The sequence below is a fragment of the Homo sapiens genome, chromosome 1 (genome assembly GCF_000001405.40).
Source record: "Homo sapiens chromosome 1, GRCh38.p14 Primary Assembly".
NCBI lineage: Eukaryota > Metazoa > Chordata > Mammalia > Primates > Hominidae > Homo > Homo sapiens.
The window spans coordinates 35692114-35712156 of NC_000001.11; the positions used below are offsets into that span (position 1 = coordinate 35692114).

Here is a 20043-nt window from a genome sequence, read left to right on the forward strand (position 1 = left end):
TACAATCAAATAACAATAATCCCGACCCCGACCCAGAGGTGAAATTGCTGGATCATATGGTAATTCCATGTTTAATTTTTTGAGGAATTGCCATGTCATTTTCCACAGCTGCTGTACTATTTATATTCCCACCAGCAATGCACAGGGGTTTCAATGCTGCACATTCTTGTCAACACTTGGTATTTTCTGGATTTTTGTTTATTTGTTTTTGACAATAGCCATCCTAGATTGCCTTAGTAAAGTAGGGCAATCACTTCTGAATGTGGTCAACATTCACAGTCTTCATTTCCTTAAGTTCTGCTCACTCCATCCGTCTCTCTAATTGGGCTCCCATCTCTATCAGTCTACTGAGCCTTGCCTTGCTGTAATGGTTAACGTGTCAACTTGAGTGGACATGTGGTTGCTCAGATTAAACATTGTTTTCTGTATCTGTGAGAGTGTTTCCAGATGAGATTAGCATTTGAATCAGTGGACTCCCTAAAGTAGATTGCCCTCCCCAGTGTGATTGGACATCATCCACTCACTTGAGGGCCTGAATAAAACAAAAGGCAGAGGAAGGAGGAATTTGTTGCTTTTTTTCCTGCCTGGCTGCTTGAGCTGGGTCATCCTGATGGCAGCAGCGGGCCATCTCTGTCCAACATATTCCATCTTTCCTTTATGGGCTCCTCTTCTCAGCCCACAGATGGTTGCCATCAGCCTCTGACTGCCCCGGGAGCCTAAAGCCAACTTGAGAGAGGATTAAGGCCAGGCCTGATGGCTCACACCTGTAATCCCAGCATTTTGGGAGCCCAAGGCGGGAGGATCACTTGAGCCCAGGAGTTTGAGACCAGCCTGGGCAACATGGCAAGACCTCATATCTTAAAAAAAAAAAAAATTTTTTTTTAAAAACTAGCCAACTGGGCGCAGTGGCTTACGCCAGTAATCCCAGCACTTTGGGAGGCCGAGGCGGGCGGATCACCTGAGGTCGGGAGTTCAAGACCAGCCTGGCCAACATGGTGAAACACTGTCTCTACTAAAAAATACAAAGATTAGCCGGTCGTGACTGTGGGCGCCTGTAATCCCAGCTACTTGGGAGGCTGAGGCAAGGAGAATTGCTTGAACCCGGGAGGCAGAGGTTGCAGTGAGCCATGATTGTGCCACAGTACTCCAGCCTGGGTGACAGAGCAAGACTCTGCCTCAAAAAAAGTAAATAAAAATAAAAAAATTAGCCAGGCATGGTGGCACATGCCTGTGGTCCCAGGTACTTGGGAGGCTGAAGTGGGAGGATCACTTGAGCCCAGGAGATCAAGGCTGCAGTGAGCCATGATCATGCCACTGCACTCCAGCCTGGGCAACCCTGTCTTTAAAAAAAGAGAGAGAGAGAGAGAGGTTTAAGCTGAATGATGCCGTGATTACAGCTGACATTCTTATCTTCAACAGTATGGCTCTAACATAGGCCCCCTCGGACATGGCTGAAATCAAGGTCACCTCCTCATTGCCTAAAGGCATTTCCCAAATTCTGACTAGGTCACACTCTGCTAACTGCAGGGCCTCGTGCAGGGAAAGATGGGACAACCAGTGGCTAGGAGAGACTTTTGGCACAGGCATCATATTCATGAAGAGCCTACATTTTATACTTTTATTTCCAATTAAGTTATACATAGATTCATCCGACTTTTTTTTTTTTTTTTTTTGAGATGGAATTTCGCTCTTGTTGCCCAGGCTGGAGTGCAGTGGTGCAATCTCGGCTCACTGCAACCTCTGCCTCCCAGGTTCAAGCGATACTTCTGCCTCAGCCTCCTGAGTAGCTGAGATTACAGGTGCATGCCACCAAGCCCGGCTAATTTTTGTATTTTTAGTGGAGACGGGGTTTCACCATGTTGGCCAGGCTGGTCTTGAAATCCTGACCTCAGGTGATCCACCCACCTCAGCCTCCCAATAGTGCTGGGATTACAGGTGTGAGCCACCATGCCTGGCCGATTCGTCTGACTTTTAAAAAACTGTTAAAAGGAGTAATTTATTAAGGTGCTATGAACTAAATATTTGTGTCCCTGCAAAATTCATATGTTGAAGCCTAAATCCCCAATGTGATGGTATTTGGAGGGGAGGACTTTGGGGGGCAATTGGGTCATAAGGATAGACCCTCACAAATGGGATTAGTGCCCTTATAAAAAGAGACATGAGAGAGATGAGAGATGATCATTCTCTGCTCCCTACCACAAGAGAACACAGCAAGAAGGCAGCCATACACAAACCAGGAAGTGGTTTCTTCCCAGACATTGAATCTGCTAATTCCTTGATCTTGGACTTCCCTGCCTCCAGAACTGTGAGAAATAAACGTCTGTTGTTTAAGCCACCCAGTCTATGGGTGGTACATATTTGTTACAGCAGCCCAAACTGACTAAGACACAAAGTAAGCATTTAAATTATACCATACTTAAAACACATTGTTGGCTGGGTGTGGTGGCTCACTCCTGTAATCCTGGCACTTTGGGAGGCAGAGGTGGGTGGATCACCTGAGGTCAGGAGTTCGAGACCAGCCTGGTCAACATGGTGAAACCCCATCTCTACTAAAAATACAAAAATTAGCTGGGCATAGTGGCGCACACCTGTCATCCTAAATACTCGGGAGGCTGAGGCAGGAGAATTGCTGGAACCCAGGAGGTGGAGGTTGCAGTGAGCCAAAATTGTACCGCTGCACTCCAGCCTGGATGACAAAAACAAACAAACAAACAAAAAACATTGTTTTGGCATTACACACTTTTTTTTTGAGACTCTGTCACTAAGGCTGGTGTGCAGTGGCATAATCTTGGCTCATGGTAGCCTAGACCTCCCAGGCTCAAGTTATCCTCCCACCTCAGCCTCTCAAGTAGCAGGCACTATAGGCAAGTGTCACTGGACCTGGTAACACTCTTTTTTTTTTTTTTTTTTGAGATGGAGTCTAGCTCTGTTGCCCAGGCTGGAGTGCAGTGGCGCAATCTCGGCTCTCTGCAACCTCCACCTCCTGGGCTCAAGTGATTCTCCTGCCTTAGCCTCCTGAGTAGCTGGGATTACAGGCGTGTGCCACCACTCCCAGCTAATTTTTAGTAGAAATGGGGTTTCACCATATTGGCCAGGCTGGTCTTGAACTCCTGACCTCAAGCGATCCGCCCACCTCGGCCTCCCAAAGTGCTGGGATTACAGGCATGAGCCACCACACCCAGCCCCGGCAACACTTTTTAAATGTGCTCTGGACCTTCAAATACACAAAGGTGGCCTGGGCTCTGATAGCCTACGAGAGGCCCTAAATGGCTGCCCCTCCTGAAAATGCCCGCCTCAGTGCTTCACTGTAATTGTCATGCTTCTGCTCCCTCCTCTGCCTGTTCTTCTTTTCCCCACCCCGTAAATTAAAGCCTTCCTTTCCTAAGATGCAGCCTCCACTCTCTGGCTCTTCATCTCCCATTATCTTGCCCACCACCCCATGTCCACCAACCTTGCTAGGACAAATAATCTCCAAATTTCTATCTTCCAAAAAGACTTTCCTCCCTAGCCTAGGCATGTATTTCCCAACTGTCTAAAGTTGGTTTTCTGAAAACACTCTTAGGTGGAGACCTGCGGGCAGGAATTGTATTGAGGAATGCTCTTGGGATCAACACAGTGGGGAGGGAAGAAAGGAGGATTGCGCAGATGAAGTAACTGAATGGTCAGAACAAAAGCCCCAAACAACCTGAAATGAGTTTTGGAAACTGAGTGGCCTTCAGACATGCTTCTCCTTAAGCAAAGGGACCCAGCCTTTATACCCCTACTTTGGTCAGTCATTGGATGTTGACTGCCTGGGAAGGCAGTGTGACCTTGGGCCAGGTGGCTCTCTTCTGTTGAGGGCAAAGGCAGAGGGGCACTCAGCTGAGAGCCCTCAGCTACCAACACTCCTAGAAACAGGGCGATGAGTGCCTTATCTCTGAAAGGGGGATGTGGGTGAAGTATCACATCATCTCCTACCAGCCACCTGCTGATCATCTCCACTTGGAAGCCCTCGGGCATCTCAAATTCAACATACCCGAAACTGAACTGAATCTGTTCCTTTTCTGTGTTATTTGATGGTATGACCAATCTGCTAGGCTTGGTAGCTGAGTCAATTATCCTCAACAACTCCTTCTCCTTTACCCTATATCCAACCAAGACTTCATCCCATAGAGGATATTAGGCTTTGTCTAAACTCCCTTGAATTCATCATTCCCATCTCCTCTTTCCCCACCACTGACCTGGCTCGGCCCTCAGCACCTTGTTATGGCATCGTACTTCAATGACCATCCAACAGATTCAGTGGAAAGAGCCTCTTAGCACGGCACAGGCAGAGCAGGTGCTACATGAAAAGTCTGTTGGGATACTGTAAGAGAAAAAAACAAAAAAAAGAGTGTGATACTCAACTGCCTAGGAATTAGTAAAGAAGGAAGGATAACAATTTTAATAACAAATGTTGTTAATTGTAATATATATAACACCACACGGTATGTTTTGTTAATTGTTATATTTATACAATCATGTCTACTTATTAATTTTATATTTATTACATTTGCAAGGATATCTTTGGGAAAATGATTTCACAGTATTTCTCAAGGGCCATGAAGACACTTTGATCTGGGAATTCTGAGAACCTACCCTAAATAAATAGTTTGAAATATGAGAAAAAATATGAACAAAGATGTTCATTCTAACATTATTCATTATACACAGCTTAAATATCTAATAATAGGGAATTAGTTAGATATTTAAGAATGAGTGGTTCAATGGAACATGATGAAACTATTAAAAATAATGGTTTCCATGCTATGTAACAGCATGGAAAATTATTGCAATGTTAAGTCAAAAAGTTAGGATTCATCATGCTTATGCACTATAATTGCAACTACGTAAAAAGTATTATTAGGGAAAACAATGTGAAAGAAGATACACCAGCATGCTAAGAGTTATATTAGAAAAAAAGAAAAGTCATCCCTGGTATCTTCAGCCCCGCTCCCCACATGGTAATTTTTATCATTGGTCTTTCTTTCTCTGATATTGACAACAATGTCTTCTTAGTATGTAAAGCACTCTGGAAGTGCAGCTTCAAGATTCAGTCTTTTCGCCGGGCGCAGTGGCTCACGACTGTAATCCCAGCACTTTGGGAGGCTGAGGCAGGCGGATCATGAGGTCAGGAGATCGAGACCATCCTGGCTAACACGGTAAAACCCTGTCTCTACTAAAAATAAAAAAAATCAGCCAGGCGCAGTGGCAGACACCTGTAGTCCCAGCTACTCGGGAGGCTGAGGCAGGAGAATGGCATAAACCCGGGAGGTGGAGCTTGCAGTGAGCCGAGATCGCACCACTGCACTCCAGCCTGGGCAACAGAACGAGACTCCATCTCAAAAAAAAAAAAAAAAAAAAAAAGATTCAGTCTTTTCGATCAGGTTGCTATCCCAAGCCCCTCTTATGATCAGAGTAATTCCATAACGCTACTTCTCAAACTTGTAATTGGTAGCTTTATAACATAACATATAATATATAATACAATATAATTATGATATAATAAATAACATGCCTTAGTATTTCACTTCTTTTTGTTGCTAAATAATATTCTATTGTACGATTTGCCACATTTTTAAATCTGTTCATCATTTGATGGACATTTGGGTCATTTCCATTTAGGCTACTATAAATATTTCTGCTATGACATTGTGTACAAATTTTTGTGTGACTACTGTATATGTTTTTGATTCTTTGGGGTATATATGTACTTATCAATGGAAATGCTGGGTTGCATGGTAACTCTATGTTTAAACACTTCAGGGATTGCCAGGTTATTTTCCAAAGCAGCTGCACCATTTTACATTCCCACCGGCCAGTTATGAGGGCTCCAATTTCTCCACATCCTCACCAACACTTGTTATTATCTGTTCTTTTGATTATTAACATCCTTGTGGGTGTGAAGGAGTATTTCATTGTGGTTTGATTTGCATTTTCCTGATGGCTAATGATGTTCACCATTGTTCTTTTTTTTTTTTTTTTTTTTTTTTGAGACAGAGTCTCGCTCTCTCACCCAGGCTGGAGAGCAGTGGCACAGTAACAGCTCACTGCAGACTCAAACTCCTGAGCTTGAGCAATCCTCTCACCTCAGCCTCCCAAAGTTAGGATTACAGGCATGAGCCACTGTGCCACTATTATTCATTTTTAACCCAAACCAGTTTTTTTTTAACAAAATAAGATTGAAATGTTCCCATATAAAAGTAATTATTGCATATTATTCTGTATTTGGGGGAAAAAAATCCAAAAGACTTAAAAAAAATTTAAGCCACACCCAAATACCACCATCTAGAGCTAACTACTATAAACATTTCAGGGCATTTCCTTCTAATGTTTTTTTTTTTTTCCTATCCTTTCATGTGACATTTGCAATTTTGTTTCTGGCTTTTTCACTTCATATAATAAAATAGCAATTCCCCAACATTTTCCTGAACATTACTGGATATAACAATTTCCTTAGCCATTCCCTTATGAATGGATGCTTGGTTATGTCCAGCTGTATTTAATATTGTGAATAATGCAGTAACATGGTGCTTTGATATTGCTCTTTAATGTCTGTGTTCCATTTGTCCAATAAGGCTCAGATCTTTGAAGAATCTGTCTTTTCTTCCCTTTCCATCCACCTACATCTTTCCAGGGTGGTGCTCAGTCCAGAGTAGACTCATTTAAGTCCTTATTATGGCCCTATTCTGAGCACTTGATACATAGCAAAGCATTTAATCCTCACAACTTCCCTGTGAGGTAGGTAATATTATTACCATCCCTTTTGTCCAAGGTCATTGGCTAGTAATGATGCAGAGGCAGAATTTGAATCCAGGTAGCCTGGATCCAGAGTCTGAATGCTGAACCATCAGTCATCTTGCTTTCCTGTCATGCTAGTGGTGGAGGGAATTAAAAATGAGACAGCCAGCCATCCCAGCTCTGTGGGTGGATTGGTCTCATGTTCAAAATCTGTCACCTAAGCTTCATCCTTCATTTGAAAATGGATAAGGGAAGTGATATGGTTTGGCTGTGTCCCCACCCAATTCTCATCTTGAATTCCCACATGTTGTGAGAGGGACCCAGTGGGAGGTAACTGAATCCTGGGGGCAGGTCTCTCCTGTGCTGTTCTCATGATAGTGAATAAGTCTTACAAGATCTGATGGTTTTATAAGGGGGAATCTCCCCGCACAAGCTCTCTTTTTGCCTGATGCCATCCATGTAAGATGTGACTTGCTCCTCCTTGCCTTCTGCCATGATTGTGAGGCATCCCCAGCCATGTGGAACTGTAAGTCCATTAAATGTCTTTCTTTTGTAAAGTACCCAGTCTCCATATGTCTTTATCAGCAGTGCCAAAAGAAACTAATACAGGAAGTGATAAAGTCAGAAAAGCTGGGGAGTACAGGGAAAGTGATTCAGCTTCAACCCACAAGATTGGAGCTTCCAACTGTCCCCAGCCTTGCACAGTCCTCTTTCCCCGCACAGCACCAGAGAGTTCTTTCTCAAATGCAAATCTGATCCTGTCACTTTCCTGCAAGGCTCTCTGTCGCACTCAGGATAAAATCCCCAAACCCATAACTGGCATGCAAGGTCATCTCTTGCCCCGTGTCTCTACTCCTGGCCTGACTTCTCTCTGCCTCAGTTCTTTCAGGTCCTGCAAACCCCACCGCTCTGTTTCATCCCTGTACCTGTTGTATCTTGGCCTGGAGAGCTTTTCCCTACCTCGCCCCTGCTCATTGTCCTTTGGCCCTGCTCACTCTAAGTCTCTGTTTAAACACTCCTGTCTTCCGCCGGGCGCGGTGGCTCACGCTTGTAATCCCAGCACTTTGGGAGGCCAAGGCGGGCAGATCACGATGTCAGGAGATTGAGACCACGGTGAAACCCCGTCTCTACTAAAAATACAAAAAATTAGCCGGGCATGGTGGCAGGCGCCTGCAGTCCCAACTACTCGGAGAGTCTGAGGCAGGAGAATGGCGTGAACCCGGGAGGCGGAGCTTGCAGTAAGCCGAGATCGTGCCACTGCACTCCAGCCTGGGTGACAAAGCGAGACTCTGTCTCAAAAAAACAAAAACAAAAACGAACAAACAAACAAAAAAAAAACAAAAAGTACACTCCTGTCTTCTATCTAGAAAGTCTTCTTCAAAGCCCTTAATTGGATCGTGTTCCCTGGTTAAACACATACCTTTCTCTTGACATGAATTACATTTTGTAATTGCTTTTCTTAAAAAAAAAAATTTTTTTTTTATTATGGAAAAATTCAAACATAAGAAAAAAAAGAAGAGTATTCTAATCACCCAACTTCAACAATTATCAACCCACAGCCAATCTGGTTTCACCTAACCCCCCATCTACTTCCCTCCTCCTGTCTTATTTTTAAACAATAAAACAGATCGTTTTATTTAATCTGTAAATGTTTTATTTAGCAAGTTTCTCTAAAAGATAAGCACTTTTAAAATCATAGTTACAATATCATTATCATGCTTTTAAAAGGCCAATTATGCTTGTTTTTTTCTTTTTCAACTTTTTATTTTGAAAAATTTAAAACTTACAGAAAAGTTGCAAACTATCTGAGACTAAGTCGCATATGTTATGATCTTTTATCCTTAAACATTTCCACATATATTTCCCCAAAACAAGGAAATTCTTTGATATAACCAAAATATAGTGAGCACATTCAGGAAATTTAAGGTTGATACAATAAAAGATCTACAATAAAATCCATATTCAAACTTTGCCATATGTCCCAATGATGTCCTTTACAACAGGGGTCCCCAACACCTGGGCCACGGACTGTATAGGTTAGTGACCTTTTAGGAACCAAGCTGCACAGCATCTCCACCTCCTGTTGGATCAGCAGCAGCATTAGATTCTCATAGAGGTGCAAATTCTATTGTGAGCTGCGCGTGTGAGGGATCTAGGTTGTGTGCTCCTTATGAGAAAGTAATGCCTGATCTTGAGGTAGAACAGTTCCTTCCAAAACCAAAAATTCCTCCCCCAGTCCGTTGAAAAACTGTCTTCTACAAATACAGTCCCTGATGCCAAAAAGGTTGGGAACCACAGTTTTCGCAGAAATTTTTTCTTTTTTTGAGACAGGGTCTCACTCTGTCATCCAGGCTGGAGTGCAGTGGTGTGATCATAGCTCACTGTAGCCTCGACCTCCCAGGCTCAAGTGATCCTTCCAGCTCAGCCTTCCGGGTAGCTGGGACTACAGGCACATGCTACCACATCCAGCTAATTTTTTTTAAAAATTATTATTTTTTTGTTTTGTAGATACAGAGTCTTCCTATGTTGCCAGGGCTGGTCTCAAACTCCTGGGCTCAAACGATCATACTGCCTTGGTCTCCCAAAGTGCTGGGATTACAGGTATGAGCCACCGCGCCCAGCTCTTTACAGAAATTTTTTTCCAATCCTCCAGTATCCAATCCAGAATCATGCATTGCATTTAGTTGTCCTGTCTCTCTCTCTCTCTCTCTCTCTCTCTCTCTTTTGGAGACAGGATCTCACTCTGTCACCTGGACTAAAGTGCTAGGCTTAAGTGATCCTCCACCTCAGCCTCCCAAGTAGCTGGGACTACAGATGCAGGCAACTGACCTGGATAATTATTTTTATTTTTGTAGAGACAAGGTCTTGCCATGTTGCCCAGGCTGGTTTTGAACCCCTGGCTTCAAGTGATCCTCCTGCCTCGGCCTCTCGAAGTGCTGGGATTACAGGCGTGAGCTACCACACCCAGCCTCCTGTCTCTTTAGTGCCCTTTAATCTGGAACAGTTCATTCCTCTTTCATGGCATTGATATTTCTGAAGAGCACCTGCCAGCTGTTTTGTAGGCCAACCCTGAATTTAGGCTTGCCTGATGGTTTCCTCCTGGTTCTGCATTCCTCAGGTTCCACATCATGGGCAGGAGTGGTACCTAGGGGAGTCCTAAAGGCTGCATCGGGAGGCAGATGTCCATTGCTTCATCATGATGAAGCTGATTGCTTAAGGTGCCCTATAATTGCTTTTTAAATTTCAAATGATCTGGGGCTTTTTTTCTGCTAGACTGTGAGCTTGATGAGGGCAGAAGTCATGTCTGTTATCTCCATCTTTGTATCCCTCAAGCATAGCAAATTTAAACTGGAAAATCGAACCTGCAAATGCATGTGCCGGCTAATGCCTCTCCCTTTATTCAGCCTCACAGCAGCCCCGGGAAGGACTAATTGAGATCTCAGATGGGGGAAAGGAGGCTCAGAAAGGGGCAGGCTCCATAACAGCGCTATTTTCCCAAACTTTTCCTGCCTGGGCTGTTTCCTCCCTTCTAAGACTCTCCCTTTGGATGGCACCTGGGAAAAACCTCCTCGCCACCACCCCCTCCCCCGACTCCCCCCCCCACCCCCCGAAGTAATGGTTTCAAGGGAAACAGAAATTCCAGAAAGAAGGAAAGCAAAGCGCATTAGCTGTCCAGAGCCTAGGGGCTGGGGGAGACGGGGGAGGCCCTATTTGCATTTTTCCCATTAACAAGCTGGAGTTGAGCTAGCTTGCCTGGGGAGATCATCTGAGAGGAAAATCTTTGCATATTTTATTTAAAAGCACGCTGCATTAGGCGGGTAATAATGCAGAGTGTGGCGATTAGGTGAGGCCTGCAGGGGGCGGGGGTGGGGTCCTTTCCCTCCCTTACCTCTAACTAACCCACCCTGGAAACCCCTCAATCCTGAGAACCAGCCTCCCTAAAGGAACAGCCCTTTGGCCTCAGAGGCAGGTTGAGACTCCAGCCTCTGTAATTCCACTCTTTCTTGCTAAGAGAGCCGGAGAGATAGGAGGAACTGCCCTGGGCAGGAAGAAGGACAGAAGGGGGTGGGACAATAGAACAAGGACCAGTGTCCAAAGCTGGACTCTAGCCCTGTGGTTCTAAGTGATGGGGGTGGCCATGTGGGGAAGTGTAGGGAGATACTACCCCTATAGGGGGCTTTTAAACATGTGAAAGAGATGTTTTGGTGTTCTCAATAATTGGGTAGGCAGTGCTATTATTAGTACTTCCTGTCTAGGGGACAGGGATGCTAACTGGGACCTTCCATTGCCCAGGACAAGCTCACTCAAAGAATTATCCAAATGCCAAAGGCACTCCCATTGGGCTAACCCTTCCTGTACAAGTGCAGGCGTGCATACACACACACACGCACACATACACACACACGCACAAATCAGACTTTCCTTTAAGCCCTGCCATTCTGTGTTACTACGGACTTAACAGAGTCCTGGATGGTCAAATAGTTGAATAAACAGGGTCCCTGCTTCATCACAAGCTGTTGAGTTTGTGCAATTCATTTATCCTCTCTGAGTCTCTATTTCCCAATTTATAAAATAGACATATCAGCTGAGTATGGTGGTGCATGGCTGTAATTCCAGCATTTTTGGAGGTCCAGGCAGATGGACTGCTTGAGCCCAGGAGTTCAAGACCTGCCTGGGCAACATGGCAAAACCTCATCTCTACAGAAAAATACAAAAATTAGCTGGGCATGGTGGGGCACTCCTGCGGTCCCAGCTACTCGGGAGGCTGAGGTGGGAGGATCACTTGAGCCCAAGAGATTGGTCCCAGGCTGAGGTGGGAGGATTGCTTGAGCCCAGGAGGTTGAGTCTGCAGTGAGCTGTGATGGTGCCACTGCACTCCAGCCTAGGTGACAGTGAGACTCTGTCTAAAAAAATAAATAAAAAAAATAAAATGAAATAAAATAGACATGTCAATGCCTACCTCTCAGGATAGCCTCTAGAGAACAATGGGATAATAGAGGGAAAGGGGTTTATAAACCATAAAACTAGAGCACATGGCTGGGCGCAGTGGCTCACGCCTGTAATCCCAGTATTTTGGGAGCTGACGCGGGCAGATCACTTGAGGCCAGGAGTTTGAGACCAGCCTGGCCAACATGGCAAAATCCCATCTCTACTAAAAATACAAAAATTAGCAGGGTGTGGTAGTACGTGCCTGTAATCCCAGCTACTCAGCAGGCTGAGGCAGGAGAATCGCTTGAACCCGGGAGGTGGAGGTTGCACTCCAGCCTGGGTGACAGAGCGAGACTCCGTCCCAAAAAAAAACCAAAAAACAAAACAAACAAACAAAAAAAACTGGCGCACACACAGGGGATGTTATTAGAATGGGGAGCAGAGCCTTAGGCTACTGGTTTAGTAAGGGGCTCCTGAAGGTAGCTGTCCTCTGTGAGAGGTTTATAAGGCCATGGTGATCCTAACCGTTCCTGCCTCACTGGGTGAGGGGTTTATATTCACAAGGTCAGCTTCCACAGTTAATGCTTGGCTACACCTTCTCCTCTGAAAAATGGGGTTGCACCTACTTTATACCAAAAAACAGAAGTGAAATTAACTTGGAAAATGTTAAATATGATGAAGAGGCAAGGTACTAGAAAACTCCATAACGTAATTTGTCATTTCCAGTCTCCCTTTCTCCTCCCGCTGCCTTAGTCTTCTGTCTGTTAGATGGTTACATATTCACTCTAACTTCTCCATCCCAAAACGCCGATGTGCATGAGCCCACACACAGACACACAAGCTAGAAAGTCTCATTAGGAATTAGGGGAGTATCTTAGCGTCTCACGTGAAAGAAGTTTTATGGTGGCCGCGGTGGCTCACACCTGTAATCCCAGTATTTTGGGAGGCTGAGGTGGGCAGATCACTTGAGGCCAGGAGTTTAAGACCAGCCTGACCAACATGGCAAAACCCTGTCTCTACCAAGAAGACAAAAATTAGCCAAAAATTAGCTGGGCATGGTGGCACGTGCCTGTAATCCCAACTACTCGAGACGCTGAGGCATGAGAATCGCTTGAACTGGAGAGGCGGAGGTTGCAGTGAGCTGAGATTACGCCACTGCATACCAGCCTGGGCAACGGAGTGAGACTGTGCCTCAAAAAAAGAAAGAAAAGAAAGAAAGAAAGAGAGAGAGAGAGAGAGAGAGAGAGAGAGAGAGAGAGAGAGAGAGAGAGAAAGAAAGAAAGAAAGAAAGAAAGAAAGAAAGAAAGAAAGAAAGAAAGAAAGAAAGAAAGAAAATAATAAGTTTCATTATGGAGATCAACACAGTGATTGTACCTAAGGCATGCGGGGAGTGGGAGCATCAAGCAAGTCTATTCAGAAGGATCTGCTTCTATCTGGGTGAGTATGGGGGTAGGAATAAATTCAGGCTAGGGTGGTTTGTGAGTCCTGGAAAGCTGTATGAGGATTTCACACACCCCAGGCACAGGAAGCAGAATAGGTAGCAGCTGCTAGCTATTCTGGGGGAATGTGGAAACAGAGAGTAGTGTGTCTGTCCTTCCAGAAATGGAACTCACCTAAAGCAACTTCAGTTTACTCACCTGTAAAATAGGACAATGGAGAAACTCCCTCATGGGAAGTTTGCGAGGGTGAAACAGGAAGGCTCTGACACATGTTGTCAATTTTTGTCTTACCCTGTATCCCTTAGCTGCCCCTGTCTCCACCTCATTCCCATCCACTTCTCCATTCTCAGTTCCCATTCCCATCACATCTTCCTCCCATCCTGTCCTAGAGCATTCTAGGAATGCTCACAATGGCTTTTGGGAAATAAAAGAGGGAATCTAGAGGTAAGACATCCTGTGGAAAATATTGCCAATTTTGTTAACATAAGCAACTTTTACTTTCTTTTAAATTAGTAATAATCACAATAATAAAGATTACCATTTCAGTGGCCTCCATCAAAATTAGTTTCAAAAGAGCACAACAGGGCCAGGTGCAGTGACTCACTCCTGTAATCCCAGCACTTTGGGAGGCCAAGGTAGTAGGATCCCTTGAGGCCAGGAGTTCAAGACCAGCCTAGGCAACAAAGCAAGACTCTTATCTCTACAAAACAAACAAACAAACAAAATTAGCTGGGTGTGTGGCACCTGCCTGTAGTCCCATCTACCCAGGACCCAGGAGGCTGAGGCAGGAGGATCACCTGAGCCCAGGAGTTCAAGGTTGCAGTGAGCCATGATTGCACCACTGCACTCCAGCCTGGGCAACAGTGAGACCCCCTCCCCTTTTTTTTTGAGAAGGAGTCTTACTCTGTCACCCAGGCTGGAGTGCAATGGCACAATCTTGGCTCACTGCAAACTCCGCCTCCCAGGTTCAAGCGATTCTCCTGCCTCAGCCTCCTGAGTAGCTGGGATTACAGGCACGTGCCACCATGCCTGGCAATTTTTGTATTTTTAGTACAGATGGGGTTTCACCATGTTGGCCAGGCTGGTCTCGAACTCCTGACCTCAGGTGATCTGCCCACCTTGGCCTCCCAAAGTGCTAGAATTACAGGTGTGAGCCACTACGCCCGGACTGAAACCCTGTCTTAAAACAAACAAACAAACAAAATCCAAAAGAGCACAAACACTGTTTAGAAAACAAATGGTCAATTATTGAAATAAAAATATTTGCTCCTAGAGTGAAAAAAAATCAAGAAAAAGTTAACAAAAAACAACACATTTGGTAGTAAAATATTTTGCAATTTCCAAAGCAATTTCGAGAGCATTATTTATTTAATACTCACATTGCTTCTGTAAAGTAGATGATACTTATTTTCATTACCCCCTTCTTTCTTGTGTGTGCGTGCGCGTGCCAGAGTCTGTCGCCCAGGCAGGAGTGCAGTGGCACAATCCTGGCTCTCTGTAACAACCATCTCCCGGGTTCAAGCGATTCTCCTGCCTCAGCCTCCCAAGTAGCTGGGATTACAGGCCTGCGCCACCACGCCCGGCTAATTTTTGTATTTTTAGTAGACATGGTGTTTCGCCATTTTGGCCAGACTGGTCCCGAACTCCTGAGCTCAAGTGATCCGCCTGCCTCAGCCTCCCAAAGTGCTGGGATTACAGGCGTAAACCACCGCGCCCCGCCACGGAGGCTCTTAAGGAAGGTCTTTGTGGATTTGTAAAACATCAGACCCTGGGAAAGATGGCCAGCGGGGATGCAGGAAGCAGCCAGCAAAGCCCTTGCAAGCCAAGCTGAGTAACTTAAGCACCTGGGGAGCCTTGGAGAGATCTTAAACTGGAGGAGGGATGGGGCCATATTTGCCTTTCAGAAGCCCACTCTAGAATACTGTGTCCCGTGGATGAGAGGGGGTCAGACAGAAACCGTTCCACGTGTCCAGATGAGATTTGGCGGTGGCCTGAGCCAAGAGGGCATGAACAGGAGAGGGGCTGGGAGGCAGATGGGACAGAGCTTAGCACCTGACTGGCACGGAGTGAGGTGGGAGGGCCTGAGGCTCGCCTCACTTCAGGTGATGAGCAGACTGAGCAGGTTGTGGCTGCGGAGAAGACGAGCTCGGCTTCCAACGTGGGAAGCCTGAGGTGCTTGCGGGTGCCGTGGGTGGAGCTGTCCGGTGGGCGGGAGGATGTGCTGCAGGTGGGGCGGAAGGCAAAGCCCCTGCTGGAGACGGAGGTTGGGGAGCCCCGAGAGTGGGTGAGAACTGAGGCCTCGGGGTGGAGGATATCCCAGGAGTGTGGAAGGAAGCGGTCCCACGACAGCCCAGGGAGACATCAAGGTCTAGGGAGCGGCCCTCACCCTGAGAGCTGTCACTGAATGTTGGGGGCCGGTGCTAATTCGCACCACTCAAGAACACACCCACAAACCCAGTCCCACCACCAGGTTCCCACCCCAACACCCTACCCGCAGCAGCCCTCTCCTCCGTGCTCCCACCCCGCCCTGCAGACCCGGGTTAATCCTCCCCTCCCTGCTTTGTGCGCCCTCGCGCCTGAGGCCAAAGCCCTGGGCGGCGCGGGCGCTCCCGGCAGCTGAGGTGGCGGGGCGGGGGCCGCGGGGGAGGAGACACAAAAGGGGGAGGGGCCCAGGCTGCAGCTGCCCCGTACCCGCGGGGACAAAGGGCCTGCTGGCGGGCCGGCCCCAGCCGTTTTCATGCTTGTTGGGATTAGGGGCAGTAAAGGGCGCTCGGGACTGTGCGGATCAACAGTCTGTGCGGGGCGGCGCGTGGGGGCGGGCTTGGCCCCGCCCGCCCCTGCTTTGTGCGCAGCCCCCGGCCCGCGCCACTCGAGGCGCCGCGGGGCTCCGGGGAGGCCGCCCCTTTGTCTGCGCCTTTCGGGGACGAGCCCCGCCCGGGGAGCGCCGAGCACCAGCTGAGCGCCGCGCTCCCGCCGGCTACCTCTTCCCCGGCGCGGAGGCCTGGAGGCCCCTCCTGGGGCGAGGTCGCGGCCCCCCGCCACGCCCGAGCCCCTCGGACGGCTCCCATCCCACAGCCCGAGCCCCCTTTCATTCACGGCGAGGAGGCCCTCGGGGAACCCAGCCCTCTCCCGGCAGCGACATCTAAGACCTTAGTAGGATGTACGCACCCCCCTTTCTCCAACGCCACCCTCTCCCCCTCCCGCCAGTCTCCACCCGAAGAATCTCTTCTCAAATCTATGGGTGATAAATGAGAATGGAGCGATTAGGGGATCGACTGGTTCAGAGCCTACGGGTTGGGGGCAGGAGTAGGGCTGGGAGGAGGGGGGATCTGGGCAAGGATAAGGTTGGGCTGGAGAAGCTTACAGGGCTGGAGGGGAAATGCAGCCGCATTTCTGGCAGTCTGGTGCCAGGGCTGGGGTGCGGAAACCTCCCCAGGCTGGGTCCAGTCATTTCTGCCAGGGGTGGGAGGAGGAGGGAGTATGTATGTGGCTCTGTGTCCCGGAGTGTGCATTTGTGAGTGTGAACGAACCATGGTGCATGTGTATGTGTGTGAACGGGTGTGGGGGCTGGTGCCTGCGCGTCTGCAGGTGCCTGGTGGGCGTGAGCACGTATACCAGTGTGGATTTGAGGTCTGGCTCAGATCCCAGAACATCCCCATCTCAGGCTCCTCTTCTCACCACCTGCATCCTTTAACTCCTGGGTCTGGGATTCCAGATGCTACATGCATCTCCTACCTCTGAGGGCCTTCTTGTCCTCTCCTAGTCAGATAAAAACAATTAACATTTGTAGACTACTTCCTGTGAGCCAGGCAGGCTCAGGTCTAAGCCCTTAACATCTGTTAACTTATTTAACTCTCAAGTAACCCTGTAAGAGAAGTACTCCCATTGTTCCCATTCTACAGTTGAGAAAAGTGAGGCACAAGTAAGAAGTGGAGGATCCAAGACACCTGGGTCCACTCTGCACTAGAAATCACTATCCTCTGTTGCCTCCACTTCTACTGGGTCTCCAAGCTCCTCTTCCTCCAGGAAGCCTTCCTTGACCAGGCCCTTACAGATCTCGCCTCTCTCCTGTTCCTGTCACCTGTTCATGCTGAGAGTAGGAGCAAACCTACCTACACAGGGTTTCCGGTGAGGCTTGAAGGCTAAGAGGCAGGTAGACAGGTCACAGGCTGCCATCATGGGGCAGTCAGTCTCCTTAGAGATAGCCATTATACAGAGCCCTAACAAGCCAGATCCCCCACCGGGGAGCCCACCTATGATATTCTGAAGCCTTTTTCTGCAGTCTTCTAATGCTTTACCCTCTTACTCAGTTCCCAGTTCATTTTCTGCCTCCCTGCACTCAGGCTTTAACCCCATTTACTCTGACCATACTTGATGGGGCTGACCTAGTTGGTGTCCCTGGAGAGCAAGCAAGTTCTCAGTGCACCCAGCCTCACAGGCCTCTCTGCTAATCCCTTCCATGCTTTCCATCCTGTACCTGCAGCCTACTCAGGCCTCTGCTGTGTGCCCTGCCCGTGTTGGTCTCTGGGTCTCTGCTCCAATCTCATCCCTATGTCTCCTACTAAGCAAGATGACTCATGTCGCACCCAAAACCTAGGTTAGACTTCCTTGGGATTTTATTCTGGTGAGAGAGGTGAAGGGGTGGAGGTAGCTGACTGGCCAAACTCCTACCAAGTGCATGAACCTTTCCTACTCCCCTCACTGTCCCACGGACTAAGGAATTCCTACCCCAATGACTTTTTTTTTTTTTTTTTTTTTTGAGACAGTCTCACTCTGTCACCCAGGCTGGAGTGCAGCGGCACGATCTTGGCTCACTGCAACCTCCACCTCCCAGATTCAAGCAATTCTCCTGCCTCAGCCTCCCGAGTAGCTGGGATTACAGGCATGTACTATCATGCCCAGCTGATTTTTATATTTTTCATAGAGACAGGGTCTCACCATGTTGGCCAAGCTGGTCTCGAACTCCTGACCTCAAATGATCCACCCGCCACAGCCTCCCAAAATGCTGGGATTATAGGCATGAGCCACCGCACCTGGCCCAATGACTTTAAGACAACAACCACGTATAGAAGTCCCTGACTGAAAACTAGACAGACAGCCAGTCCTGCATTCCCCTCTCCTAGGTTACGAGTGGCTTGTGCATTAGGCTTTTGGGGTCTTTTTGTTGGGGAGGGGGTTGAGACAGGGTCTTGCTCTCTCACCCAGGCTTCAGTGCAGTGGTGGGATCATAGCTCACTGCAGCTTCAAATTCCTGGGCTGAAGTGATCCTCCAGCCTCAGGCTCCTGAGTGGCTAGGACCACAGGCATGTACCACCATGACTGACTAATTTTTTTTCCCTTTTTGTAGGGATGGAGTCTTAAACTCTTGGCTCAAGCCATCCTACTGCCTCAACCTCCCAAAGTGTTGGGATTACAAACATGAGCCACTGTGCCCAGCCTGCATTAGGCTTTTGGATGCAAGTCTCATCTACCTGTGCACACCACAGCTCTCAAAGACAAGAGCAGGCTCCTCAGGGCCTCATGCAGGGGAGGCACACAATCTTCTTAATCCATACAGAGCATCTTCACGTCCATTTCCTCATTCAGCCCTTATAGTTGCCACAGGTGAGGAAACTGAGTATAGAGAGTGTAGCTCAGATCTGCCTATGGGAGGTACTGTGGTCACCTTAGCACTTCCCATGATTAGGCCTCGTGGCCAGTGGACCTGATGGAGAACCACAATTCTTGGCTGAGTTGGTTCAGCCACTGGAGTCCTGCCTCCGTTTCCCTGCCCCTAACTCTGCCGTCCTGGGCTGTGGCTCTATTCTTGCCAATCTCCTTCCCAAACCCATCATCCCCCGGGGAGTCCCTGACCTTCAGTGACTGGCAGGGGTCCTGTAAACATACAATTCACCACACATTCCCTTGGTCTCACCTTCTTCTTTTTCTCAGCTCAAAGAGTTCTTTTCTGGAAAGGAATATTAGGCAGCTTTATTTTTTAGAAGTCCCCTTCCCCTTTAAAGATGACATTCAAATTTTAGATTCAGCCAGGTGCGATGGCTCACACCTGTAATCCCAGCAGGTGGGGAGGCTGAGGCGGATCACTTGAGGCCAGGAATTAGAGACCAGCCTGGCCAACATGGTAAAACCCCATCTTTACCAAACATACAAAAAAATTAGCCAGGCGTGGTGGTGCATACCTGTAATCCCAGCTACTCGGGAGGCTGAGGCATGAGAATTGCTCAAACCCAGGAGGCGGAGGTTGCAGTGAGCCAAGATCACACCACTACACTCCAGCCTGGGCGACAGAGCCAGACCCTGTCTCAAAAAAAAAAAAAATTTTTTTAGATTCCAATTTCATAAGAAAAAATGTTTTTCTATGAAAAAGCTGTATGTACCAAAAAAGTATGATTTATAATAATCATAATTCATTAATGTAACTTACTATGTGTCAGGTACAATTCTAAGTCTTCTATATATTACATATTTAATCCTTGCAGCAACCCTGCGAAGTAGTTATTACTATTATTCCCATTTTAAGATGAGGAAACTAAAGCACAGAAAAGTTAATTGACTTGCCCAAGGTCACAAAAACATAAAACAATGGGGACAAGGTCCAAATCCAGGGTGTCTGGCTTCAGGGTCTCTGTCCTTCACCAGGGGCTGTGTTCAAAAGAGCCCTCACACATTTAGAAAAGGGGCTCCTGGCCGGGCATGGTGGCTCATGTCTGTAATCCCAGCACTTTGGGAGGCTGAGGTGGGCCGATTGCCCGAGCTCAGGAGTTTGAGACCAGCCTGGGCAACATGGCAAAAACCCATCTCTACTAAAAATACAAAAAATTAGCCAAGCGTGGTGGCATGTGCCTGTAGTCCCAGCTGCTTGGGAGGCTGAGGTAGGAGAATGGCTTGAACCCAGGAGGTGGAGGTTGCAGTGAGC

General features: G+C 47.5%; 1 annotated feature.

Moving 5' to 3' along the window:
- Positions 15736-15875: a silencer, noted in NCBI's record as "silent region_644". NCBI's record gives its function as "represses an Ori minimal core promoter by ATAC-STARR-seq in GM12878 lymphoblastoid cells {active_cell/tissue: GM12878}" and the evidence as "EXISTENCE:reporter gene assay evidence [ECO:0000049][PMID:35858748]".